The 13,496-nt window shown below is 44.3% G+C and overlaps 1 protein-coding gene across 3 annotated transcripts in view, besides 1 other annotated feature; it reads right to left on the reverse strand.

Moving 5' to 3' along the window:
• Positions 1-13,496, reverse strand: part of SLIT3 (slit guidance ligand 3) — a 639,400-nt gene that overhangs the window by 464,566 nt on the left and 161,338 nt on the right. The window lies entirely within an intron of this gene.
• Positions 1,035-1,536: an enhancer, noted in NCBI's record as "NANOG hESC enhancer chr5:168554345-168554846 (GRCh37/hg19 assembly coordinates)". NCBI's record gives its function as "activates a minimal SCP1, AML or CMV promoter by ChIP-STARR-seq in primed H9 embryonic stem cells {active_cell/tissue: H9 hESC(primed)}" and the evidence as "EXISTENCE:reporter gene assay evidence [ECO:0000049][PMID:30033119]".

Below are 13,496 nucleotides of genomic sequence, written 5' to 3' on the forward strand. Positions count from 1 at the left end.
GAGAAGGAAAGCAGGAGAGAGAGAGGAAGAGGGAAAGGAGAAAGAGAGACAGAGAGAGATGTGAGACCTCACGCAGGCAACACCATGATGTTGCTAAAGGGTAAGATATTTTGTAATCCTCAGAGCCTCTTTCCTCTCTTACTACCAATTAACAAAAGAAGTCAGCATAAGAGAAATGTCTTTGATTCATAGTCAAGGGACTTTAGTGGTGACATCATGAAAAGCACAACTTAGACCTGGACTGGGTGGCCCTCTCAAATGACATCATGGTTGACACAGAGCACTGCCTCTCACAAGCACTACATCATCTGCTTTGCTCAGACACAGGCTCTGCTCCCTTGACACGACAACATTAACCAGTGGAGGCACCAGGGTGCAAGGGGCAATGCTGGAGATGCCCGAGTCTGCCAAATTGTCTGGATCTTTCTTCTAATCAGGCTGGAGAGGCAGGCCCTGCTGAGTCAGAGCCCAGAGGTGACAGGAGGAGACAGCATTTGCCAGAGGTTAGGCCACAGATGGGGATCACTTCAAACCTGATCCTTGGTTGCCCAGATTTTTCTCTCCCACTTAACCAAATGACCCCATGATCCATTAGTCACTCTTTACTGAGATCCACTGGGAGTCATCAGGACTTCACGATCCACATAATTACAATGAAAAGTCTGCACTGACTTCAAGGCCTCAAGTAATTTATCCAAAAGATTCCCCAGATGACTTACCATGGTTTCATCATCAGAGAGTTGGTCTGATAGTTACTCCTGTTGATCAGACAATTTCTTCTTCCATCCCTACAAGGAAGCCATTTCAAGATGGTACCTCTCACACTCAGTCATCATCACAAAAAAAGGAAAAAGAAAATGTTTTATATGAGGCTAAGAGTACCAATGAGGACAATCAGAAAAGTCGAGTCATAAAATCAAGGGCTTTACTCTCCAATGCAGAGAATGGTAAAATAGGCACTGCCCTTAAAACTGCTGTAGCAACTTGCCAGAGTACACTTTCAATTATTTATCAGAAATCCCAGTGCTTCCCAATTACTAAAAGGAAGCAGCAGCTGCTAGGCCCATGAGGCTCCACACAAAATGGTTTGCCCAGGCACAGACAAAATATTTTAGTTTTGTGCCCTGAACTCAAGTTGAATGGTTTTCAAATAGAATGTGGAGTGGTCATCTTTGTCTAAAATCGGAGCAACTTAGAAGAACAAAACCGGAAGAAGATAGTCAGCATTCAAGCATCAAGTCTCTGGTAAAAATAGATGCTTTCAAATGGGTTTATCTAACTCTATTGTCAAGCAAATCAGGGTCTTTCTGGGTCAGATGCTATTCTGGACATGAGAGCAGGGGCTCTGGTTTCGCTTGGTCTCTTATCTTTAGCATCTGGCACTGTACCTGACACCTAAACCTGTGTGAGTGAATGAATGAATTAAATCAGAACTGTAGTTTTGTGGCCAAGTCAAAGTTCACTTAAGTTCAGAGAGCAAACAGTGACATACGGCAAATTAGGAAATTTAGCATCATTACTTGGCTTCTGTAGAGCTCTAACAAGAAGGGTTTTTCCTCAACCCCAAAATGGCTCAAAAGCCTTAAAAATGTTTATAACATTTGACCCAGTAATCCCACTTTGGGAATCTAACTTACAGAAATAATCTAATAAATAAGGAGGGAAGCATCCTATTTTAAAAATTATTTCTCAAGGCATTAAAAACTTACCAAATGTACCATAGAATGATTAGGTGAACTAAAGATTATTTAAATGAAAAACTGTTATTTATTTAATAATTATTTAAAAGAAACAGGTAAAATGCTTATGATGTTGAATGAAAGCATATTAAAAAGCATGTTATATAATGTTCTTTAAAAAGCATAAATAGAAGAAAATAGGCAAAATGTCAATAATTTTCTTTGGGACACGGGTCATGGATTATATATATACACACACACACATTTATATATATATACATATATATATTTATATATATATATATAATTTATATGTGTGCATATATAAATTTTTTAAATTTGTCTGAAACACTGCCCTAAGAAATCACTTCGCTCTTCAGTAGCTTCTAAGAAGGAATCCTTTTTCTGGGCTCTTCCATCCTGTAGTGTAATGCTATATATCTTTATTTATTTATCTTTTTTAAGGTGGAGACACCCTGTTTTGCCCAGGCTGGAGTGCAGTGGCACAATCTTGGCTCACCACAACCTGCGCCTCCTGGGTTCAAGCTATTCTCCTGCCTCAGCTTCCCGAGTAGTTGGGATTACAGGCTCCCAACACCACGCCTGGCTAATGTTTTTGTATTTTTAGTAGAGACGAGGTTTCACCATCTTGGCCAGGCTGGTTTGAACTCCAGACCTCAAGTGATCCACCTGTCTCGGCCTCCCAAAGTGTTGGGATTACAGGTGTGAGCCACCGCGCCCAGCCTGTATCTCTTTTAACCAAGAACTTGGATATTGTTTCAAAGAATTCTCTGATCCCTTCATGTTGCCAGCCAACATGGACGGTGAGCCTGGCAAATGTAATTACTAAGTTCTCTCTGGTGACAGCATTGCACACTCCAGGCGACTGCAGCTCACGCTCATCTGCTTGTCACTAAAAGGCGGCTTGTATTTGGAGTTACTGGAAATAAGAGATGACTTTTGAAAGATACATATACTCACAGGCAAAGGTGGAGCTGGGGGAGGAGCCAGCAGCATCAAACTGTGGTTATAAGACACTTGGAATTGGACTTGGACACGGCAGGGGAGCGGGGGTTATAATTCCTTGGTAAGCTGCTTGTTCATCGAAACCTACAATTTGCCATACTCTGCAAGCACCTGGCCCGAAAGGCCATGCGTCACTCCATTGTTTCCCTGTGTTTTTGCACCAGGAGAGCACGTGTGAGTAAGATGCCCCTCTCTAATGTGCTGAAATGGCAATCAAATCCAAACTCTCTTAAGAGATACTTATATTGATAGTTCTCTAGGCTGGGTGTGGTGGCTCATGCCTGTAATCCCAGCACTTTGGGAGGCCAAGTGGGGAGGATCATTTGAGGTCAGGAGTTCAAGACCAGCCTGGCCAACATGGTGAAACCCTGTCTCTACTAAAAATACAAAAATAAGCCGGATGTGGTGGTGGGCGCCTGTAATACCAGCCACTCAGGAGGCTGAGGCAGGAGAATCTCTTGAACCCGGGAGGCAGAGATTGCAGTGAGACGAGATTGCGCCATTGCACTCCAGCCTGGGCAATAGAGCGAGACTCAGTCCCCCCAAAAAAAAGTTCTCTAAATTCTTGACACTGCCTCATTTGGACATTTGGGATAAACTAAAAATAAGGTCAAGGTCATGAAAACCAGGAAAAAAACTGAAAAAACTGTCACAGTAAAGAGACTGAGGAGACATAACAACTGAATGCAACATGGCACTGCGGAGTAAATCCTGGAAAAGAGAAGAGGATATTAATGGGAAAACCAGTGACACCAAAATATAGTTTGGAGTTCTGTTAATAGTAATATACAAATGCCAGTTTCTTTGGTGGTTTTTTTTGTTTGTTTGTTTGTTTGTTTGTTTGTTTGTTTTTCCTGAGATGAAGTCTTGCTCTGTCACACAGGCTGGAGTGCAATGGCACAATCTCGGCTCACTGCAACCTCCACCTCCTGGGTTCGAGCGATTCTCCTGCCTCAGCCACCTGAGCAGCTGGGATTACAGGTGCCCACAACTGCGCCGGGCTAATTTTTGTATTTTTAGTGGAGACAGGATTTCACCATTTTGGCGAGGCTGGTCTTGAACTCCTGACCTCATGATCCACCCATCTCGGCCTCCCCAGGTGTTGGGATTACAGGCATGAGCCACCGTGCCCAGCCAGTTTCTTAGTTTTGACAAATGTACCATAGTAATGTAAGATGCTATTAATGAAGGAAACCAGACTAGAGGTTTAGGAGTACTCTCTGTACTATCTCTAAAACTTTTCTGTAAATCTAAAATTATTCCAAAATAAAAAGCATATTTAAACAAAAGTCATGACCTCCAAAGAAAATTAGGAAGATAAGGAATGGTGTTTGTTATTAGGCTCAGCAGACATCCTGGTGGAACTGTAGAAAGAGCTGAGATAACAGTGAGATGATCTGATTCAAAACTCCCTTGTTCTCTTTGGTGGGACCCAGGTAAGTCACTTAAATTCACAGAATGTCCATTTCCTCATATGTAAAAATGAAAATAATAACACCTGGTTGACAGAGCTGTTGCAGGTGTCATATGAATAAGCATCATCAGGGTCGTGAGGTTGTTCATTTACTGCTGTATCCTCCCTGCCTAAAACAGTGCCTAGCCCAAAGTAGGCACCTGATAAATATTTGTTACATGAGCAAATATATGGAAATAGTTCAATATGTCATCCACTTCAATATATTGTTGCTGTTAATAATAATATCGAAGCCTCATTAATCTGCTTAAAAATAATCTGAAACATGAGGGAAGGAAAAATACATTCTAGTATATGAATATGGAATACTACAAAGCAGTTAGTTAAACTAGACTGATCATGTGTCAGCATGAGGAGCTCAACATAATGTTGAATGAAAAATGCATGCTACAGAATGATAGAGTATACTATTTATGTATAATGTTTGAAAATATACAAAATGTTGCAATATGTGCCACATATAGATACGTATTTAAGTGGTGAAAAAAAATCAAGAAACATGGACCACAGAGGTTCACTAAATACACAGTAGTGGTCATCTCCGGAAAAGGGCAGAGTGCCCTTTGAGGCACAGCCAGGTCATAGGAGCAAAGACCCTCTGGGTTTCAAATAACATAGCTATAGACAGGTCTAAGATTAAGTTAGCTCACCCATTGGCTGCATTAATTATCTGCAACTACATTACTTAGCTGTTAACGAACACACAACAATGCACAAGTTAAAATAGTAAAACATACGAAAATCTGTTTGGGGATTACTGATTGTAAATTACATGCTTGGAATAGGTTAGCACAGTGGTTCTCCGAGCGCAGTACCTGGAGCAGCATCAATATCATCTGGGAACTTGCTAGAAATGCAGGTTCTCAGGCCCCAGCCAGACCACCTACTGAATTCTGAACTCTGGGAGTGGGACCCAGCAATAGGTATTCTAACAAGTACTGCCGGTTATTCTGATGCTTACTTCCAGATGAGAACCACTAAATTAGCAGGGTCTTCTGAGAAGGGCTCTTGTCCCACTGAGCCCTAAGTCCCTTTTATCTCTGAATTAGTTTCTTTATCTTTTAAAATATAAATCTCATCCAAACGACTTCTAAATTCTTTCCTGATTCTGCAGGTTTACGATCATGCACCAACTTAGAAAGCTGTTAACTTTTAACACCTACTTTTTCAGCTTGGAAAAGGAAGGCCAGAGATCATTATCTGTACTTCTTACTATCCTCCTCCTTGGCTGACTCTGTGGCTTAGCTATGCCTAAACCATTCATAACCCGATTCTTCCTTGCCTTCCTCTACAATTGAGGCTGTAAAGCAAAAGCATGAACTCCCTGTACTTCCCTTGCAGAACATGTGAAGCAATACTGGCCTTGGAGATCTGAAGGAAAGGGTTTAGCTTCTTAAATATCAAACAAAGTCTAGAGAGAGGGCACTTCACAAGTATCACTTTTGTGTAGCAGCTGTCTTGCAAACCTAAAGATGAAGCCACATGGTAAAGATGGTAGCCCAGGCAGACAGAAGGAGCCTGGGTCTTCCACACCATCCTAGAAGAGCCACATCAGCTCTATTCTGCCTTCCTCAGGACTCAGAGTCCTGTTTCTTTAAGCCACTATAGTTGTACACATTCCTGTTTGAAGTACCCCACATGTCCAGCACACACTATGCTCTAAGGAATGCCTGTGGACGATAACGGGGTAAAGAAAAAGGAAGGGGGAAAAGGCGGAGGAAGAAATAGAGAGGTATGACAGAGGGCTGAAGAGAGCCAAGTGAAATTCCAGAAGACAGGAACCTCAAAGTAGTAAGTTCTCAGCAAGTTTGTAAAGGGAATAAGGGCCTGAAAGAGAGGAAAAAGAAGGCATGCCAAGTCTGTATTTACACAAGAAACTGTGTTATATCCATTAAAACACAGGGTTGAGGTGCCAGTTAGACATATTTTGATACATATTAAAATGAACATACAACTATTAAAATTTTTTTAAACATGGTCCACGTGCCACCAAAAATCATCTTGTGAACCAACAGAGATTTGCCTGGCACTCAAGGGAAAGGCTGACTTATGCAAATTCCTGGGCCAGAGGGTTTGCAGTTTCAGTAGATCTGAAATAGCAAAACATAAGCTGGAATGATCCAAATCTAAGTTTGCATGAACTAAGCAGGAACCAGGACTTCTCAAAAAGCATGTTCCGTATCAAGCTGAAGGTCTGTATGTCTATTCTATTTTCCTGAGATGCACTAAATTTCTTGGCTAACCCCAAGTATACAAGGAAATACGGTGCACACCAAGAAGAAAGAATGACTCCTGTCTAGCTCTGGGAAGATTCCCGTGATCTGTAATCCCTCTGGACATTTATTTTATACTCATAACAGGGTTGTGCAAATATTTTAATGGGCATTTGCTATATTTTGAGGTGTACAGTCTTGTTGCCAGGCATTTATTTTTTTGAAAAGATGACTTTTGGTATTATTTTTATTTTCAAGCCATTGCTTTTGTTCCTATTCTACTCTCACAATGTCTTTTCTCTTTGCAACTACCTCTTCAGTAGAGAGACATAGACAACTGTTTCCTGTGTGTGGGGAGGCGGTTACAGGTGCATTAGCTGTGATGATGGCTAGCAAGAGGTGCCTGTAGTTTATGATCTGCACCTTATCCTTCTTTTCCTTCTTTTATCCAAGTCGAGATATTATATTTCTACCTGTAGGCAGGAACTTCCTCTTTCTCCATTCCCTTTCCCCACCTGCATCCCTCAAGCCCATTATCTCTGTGGGCACGGCCCAGGCACAAGCCTGCTTCACTTTACAGTGTTTGTCAATGCACTCTGTGAAGGACATGCCACAGCTGTGGTTCAACTTCTTGGAATCTTGAGTGGTGAGAGCCCACCTTTGCCACCTCCCCATGAATGTAAAGCCTAGAGCCTGCTGGTCTACAGCCCATAGCCGTTGAGCTGTGTCATCTATGCATAGAGCCATGGGAATTGGCTTGCCAACAGTCTCCATGGAGAAGGGCACTGGTTACAAGAGAAGTCACTGAGCGACATGCTGACGTATCAAAGGATGCTCAAGGTTGTCAGGGATCACTTTCCTTCTCGAGGTGGGAGAAAAATAAAATCTTTATAGTAGGAGCTAGATTAAGGGGGAGGGAGAGGCAGAATGAGAGGGTGAGAATGACATCTGTGTCAACTGTTTATTTTGGTGATTGTCTGCAACTTGCAGGCAACATGGCTGAGCAAAGCTGTCATGGAAACACAATTTCACTGCAGATGACAAGTTGGCATAAAGACAATGTAGGTGCAAAAGAGGTATGGGAAACAAAACTACCTGTCAGGCAGGCAAAGGGAGGAAGAAAATCTACCCTCACATACTTTCCCATAATTAAACGTCAGATGTACACAATGCAGTAAAATAATTAGCATGGCATAATTACTGTTCCGATGGAGTCTTGTGTATATGCCAAACAAATTGCTGTACTAGAGCACAAGCTGTTAAAACAAATTGAGTTACTTAATTTTTACATGTAGCAGCCTGTTTTATCATTTCCTAAGATGCAAATGTTTCATTAATAATGCAGGTTTTCTAAATGTGCAAAGCTTTGGGCCATTGCAAAGGCAGATCCACTGGCCTTCCTCTAGAGACTATAGATAAAAAGCAACTGATTCCCCTATTCCACGCTTATCTGCTCAAATCTTCTCTCAACATGGTAGCCAACAGGATATTTTAAAGTCATAAATTAGATCATGTTACGTCCCTGCTTTAAGACTTCTCAATGGCTACTCACTGAGCTTAGAATCAAGTCCAATAAGGTCTAACAGGAGTGGGCCCCTCGGTCTCTTTGCAACCACCTGGGGCCTCTGTCCCTCTCACATGCTGCAGCCAGACTGGCTTTCTTTCAGCTTAAGTTCAAGTCTTCTTGGACCCAAGGTCTTCATGCTTGCTGCTCCCTTTGCCCAAAACACTCCTCCCCTACTCCTTTGCCTTCTGTCCTCCCTTTCTCCCACTCCCCCATAGCTGCCTCATTCTTTTCCATAGGACTTAACTTAAACTGTGCATCCTCAGGGACACCTTTCTTGACCACCCTATAAAAAGTAGGCCCTGATGGCAGGGAACATCACACACTGGGGCCTGTCGGAGGGCTGGGGGCTGGGGGAGGGATAGCATTAGGAGAAATACCTAATGAAAATGTCGAGTTGATGGGTGCAGCAAACCAACATGGCACATGTATACCCATGTAACAAACCTGCACGTTGTGCACATGTACCCTAGAACTTAAAGTATAATACTAATAATAAAAAAAGTAGGCCCTGACCCTTCATGCCCCAGCTGGTCCACTAGAGCTCTTGGCTAGGCCCCTCCGTGGCATTTATTGCAGCTTGGACTAGAATTTTATATGTAGGTTTTTGTTATGTTTTATTTTCATAAGGCCTACCTCCTCCACAAGACTAAGCATCTTCAGGGCAGAGCACAGCTGTCTTGCTCACCACTATATATCCAGTGTCCAAACAGTTTCTGACATATAGTAGCTGCTCTATAAATATACATGGACTATGTGTTGTGACACTGGGTAAATCACTTCCCTTCACCACGCATCTGTTTTCCCCTCTAACAAATGAGAGGGTGGACTTGATCAGTGTGTTTTGTTTGTTTGTTTTTTGGAGACGGAGTCTCACTCTGTTGCCCAGGGTGGGAGTCCAGTGATACAATCTCAGCTCATTGCAATCTCCACCTCCTGAATTCAAGCAATTCTCCTGTCTCAGCCTCCTGAGTCAATGGGATGGGATTACAGGTGCCCGCCACCATGCCTGGCTAATTTTTGTATCTTTAGTAGAGATGGGGTTTCAGCATGTTGGCCAGGCTGGTCTTGAACTCCTGCCCTCAGGTGATCTGCCTGCCTCGGCCTCCCAAAGTGCTGGGATTACATACGTGAGCCACCACACCCGGCAGATCAGTGTTTTTTTTTAATCCATGAGTTGTTCTCTTTTCCTGGGTTCATAAGACCAATTTAGCAGCTGTTAGCACAAATACTTTCAAAACATGAAATAGCACAGAAACTAGCAGGAACACAGAAACAATACTTACCCTCACCATCAGTCATGCCTTTTATCAGTGGTAGTGAGGACAAGTATTGTTTCATGACACTCTTCTTCCAATATTTATATATGCTTCTGTTTCCTGAGTCATGATATAAATTATACATATCTCTTTCTGTGGGATGCACACAAAAAACATCAGGAAGTCGCAAAATACTGGAAGCTGGAAAATGACAGAACTAGGCAATCTCCATGAGCTCTAAACTTGCTTCCAGCCTTGTCCTTCTAAGATCCTTCTCCCCACAACCCCTTCACCACCAATGGCAGGCCAGGAAGGTTTTTCTAAGTAGGATAGAATCACTTTGCCCCAAGGAACCTGAGAAGAAACTTTAGGCCACAGCCTTGGTACACAGAAGAAAGTGTCACCATCTCGTCCTGTCTCTACCACCCCTCACATTACAGATCACTTCTCTATATCACGGACACGGATACACAAACTCCTTTCTTTTCCAACCCTGCTCCCTCCTGGGACAGTCTCTTGAACATAAGGAAATAGGTCAGAAAACCAGAAGGGGAGAACTAGAAATAAAGTTGTTTCTCTCTTTTCCTACCAAATAGGAGCTAGACTGGACATCACAGTCAGAAGCCAGCTTGAGGGGAGGGGGACAATCGCCTCTCCAGATCAGGCCTCAGAAATCGTGGGTAGTTTCCGTCAACATGGGAAACTTAAGAAAAAGTAGCATGAACTACGAGACTGAAACAGCAGTGGTGATTCTAAAGACTCAAATAAAAGGGAGTCAGGGCATTGCCTTTTTGAAGTGCCTGCTACCCTGCCCATTAAAGGGCAGGTGTTTCCCAACATCTCCCACAGACCCACACAGCTGAGCCCCAGCCACTCCCTCACAAAGGACTCCTGCCACTAAGCACAGCAGCTCCTCTATTCTGGACAGGGTGGAGGTGGTGGCCAGAACTTTGCTGTTACCGCTCCTATGACTGTGAACGGTCCCTTGACCAACCTTGCTCCAGAAATGGCAGGAAACAATAGTCCCGTCGTGGGTCAGTCTGGATCACATGTCAACAAGGCTATGGTGGAAACTGCTAACCTGACCATCATGGATGTTAAACTTGGTGACCTCTGGCCCCATCTTTCAACGCCTAAAAACAAGCCCAATGCCTCAATGCCTCATTATGGGCCTGGATTTGCTTTCCCATTGGAGAATGGGCCAGGGTATTCTTCTGGCTAGGAGGAGGTTGTGTGTGTTTGGGGGTGGGGAGTGTGTATGAGTTGAACCATTATAACGCAAGGAGCAAGACTGGGGATCTGGGACCCACTTCTGCTTTTAGGCCTCTGGACTTTAGATCCTAGCCACCCTATGTGTTTCTTTTATATGTTAATTTTTAAAAATAGAGATGGGGTCTCCCTATTTTGCCCAGGCTGGCCTTGAATTCCTGGACTCAAGTGATCCTCCTGCCTTGGTCCCCCAAAATGTTAGGATTACAGGAGTGAGCCACCACACCTGGCCAGTTTCTTTGTCTCTTACCCAGAAAGCTTCACCAAGGGGCGAGCATGATTATGCATGAGCTTCTTAAATCTGGACTTCCCGACAGCTTCTCATGACAGGTCTTCTGTGGAAGACTCCTTAGATTCAGACCATCAGGCCTTTCAAAAGCACAGGAACCTACTTTACCTCGCCCAACTCTACGGATGGGATAGGAACTTACAAGGACATTTCCTCATTGGATTCCAATGTTCATTCTCCCCTTCTCTCTCTCAATTAATCTCCCCCTCTTCTCTTTCTATCTACATACACACACACACACACACACACACACACACAGAGAGAGAGAGAGAGAGAGAAACAGTTTGCTTCACAGCGGGAAGCAGGGGAAGGGTATCTATTTCCGGCAAGATCCCTGAGGAGGCCTCAGGGGGCTGGTAACTTATTCCCCTCGTCTTCTCCTATCAATGCAAATCTCTCCTCTCATTAGCCCACCCTGGATCTTAGACCACCTTCTCTGCTCAGCTCCTGGCCAGGATACCCTCCTGACAGGGGTTTTTCCTGGCTTACGTCCCTTCATCCACATCCCCCAAATGGCCACTTGCTTAGGTGGCTCTGACTTTGGTGCCCTGGGGAATGACAACTGTGATTACCTTTAAACTGCCTCATACGGTGCCACATAGCGCCACAGAGACCCTCACATCCTTGCCTTGCTCCCACCCAGAAACCTAGGGTGACCAACTATCCCCATTTGCCAAGGACTGATGGGGTTCCCACGATGTGAGACTTTCAGAGCCAAACACGCAGTCCCTCACAAAGCAAGATGAGTTGGTCACACCACAGCAGCCTAGAGTCTGGTCTTGACCTGTGGGCTCCTTTTATGACCTTTTCCTCATCTCCAGGACTCCTGGGCCCTTGTCTCACCTCTCTCTCATTTACTAGATCTCACCTGGCCCCTGAGTGGGACATGTGATTTAACAGAGAAGGGAGTCATGCAAAACCAAAAACTATCAAGATAGATGCCTGGGTTTGGATCCTGGCTCAGCACATCTGTGGGCCAATTACATAAACACTCTAGGCCTCAGTTTTCTCATCTGGAAAATGGGGCAATAGCAGCAGATGCTGTTGGTACACCACCCAATTCCCCTTTTCTGTGTTGGTGCATTTGACCCTGGCTGCTGTGAAGTTTGGCTGCTAACAGCTCAATATAGCCCTTGCAATATGGGAGCTCTCCCGTAAACGCATGGGACTTATACCCCACCCTGTCCTGGGCGATGTGACCTACAGCCAATGACTGGTGGACGGAAAAGAGCGGAAGCCCTGCCCCCTTGCCTCAAGTGAGAACAGATCTGTGGTGCCATTCGCATGGGTCCTCCTGTGGTGTCAGGCTAAGGCTAGACTTTTCCTGCAGCCACATATCTGCCTGGCTTCCTCCCCTGTCTTCTCCTGCTGCCCCCATTTCTTTAACCCCTTCCCCCCTAGAGCACTTCCTACACAAATCCCTTGCACAAGAATCCCTGGTTCAGGTTCTGCCTCTGGGAAAGTGATCTAAGACAACTGCCTTATAGAACTGCTGGGAAGATTAAATGAGATAATGTCCAGAAAATGCTTATGTCAGAGCCTGGCACATGTTAAGTTCCCACGTTGCAACTGCTCTGTCCTGACGTCTGGGATAGAGCTTGTCCGATGGCACTGCGAGCCTTGCGTGTTCTCCCCTCTGTGGTTCCACTCGTGCTATCTCATGCCCCCACGCATGGCACACTTGCATGGCATATCCAGCAACACATTCTGGGTATCCCACAATCTCTGACTTGCGAGTCAAGCAAGTGCTTCGCAATGAAAATGCCCTAAGTGATATTATCATGGGGAAATTGTTCGAAGTCTTAAAGTGATCACTTGAAAGCTCCAGGACTATCCTAAGAGGTTGCTCATGACTGATGGCAGTGGACAACTGATGTCCACATCCAGCCCCACTGCTCCAGCCTTTCTTGGAGACCTTCTCCAGGCCCAGACCCTCTTTTCTCAGCTTCCTGAAGAGATCACAGTTCCTTCCCTCACTTTTCACCAGCATGTCTCAAGACTGGAGACAAGTCCTCTGTCACTGGTGATTTCTCCCTGGGTACTACTGCCCAGTGCCATGAGCACCAGCCTTGGGGGTAAGATTGTTTTCTCAAAGCCCTAAAGTTGAAGGAAGACTTTCTTGTGTACCTAGCACTGTGCTCTTAGAAACAGAACTACAGAAAAATACAAGGTTTGGTCCTTGTCCTCAAGAAACTTAGGGTAGGCCAAAGGATCCAAGAAGCACTATTTATTGAATGAGAAGAATGGTGATTAACAAAATGGAATATTTATTGAGAATTTACTACGCATCAAGTTTTTGCAAACTACTTTTTATGTGTGATGTTATCTAATCCTTACAGCTCTTCCAGCATCATCATCATCCTAGTTTCTCAGACCTCTGAAATATCAAGAGGTCAGGGAGCATGCCTGGGTTACACAGCTAGCCAGCAACAGCAGGATTCATCCCAGGCCATCTGATCCCAGCCCCACACTCAGCTACTAAGCTCTACTCCTTCCAGCACTAGCCCACCCCCCCAGGGGCTCCTAGTTGAGCAATCAAAACAAAACATGGGTATAAGGAACAGAATTCCAGAAAAACTGCAATGAGCAAAATACACCAGGAAATAGTTAGTGATGGAGGGAACACGAGGTGCTGACAATATCATACAGGGCCAAATTGTGAGACTGAGGCACTTCTGGGAAGAATGGGGACTCCTTTTCCACTCTTGCCAGCAGCTAGTAAC

The sequence above is a fragment of the Homo sapiens genome, chromosome 5 (genome assembly GCF_000001405.40).
Source record: "Homo sapiens chromosome 5, GRCh38.p14 Primary Assembly".
NCBI lineage: Eukaryota > Metazoa > Chordata > Mammalia > Primates > Hominidae > Homo > Homo sapiens.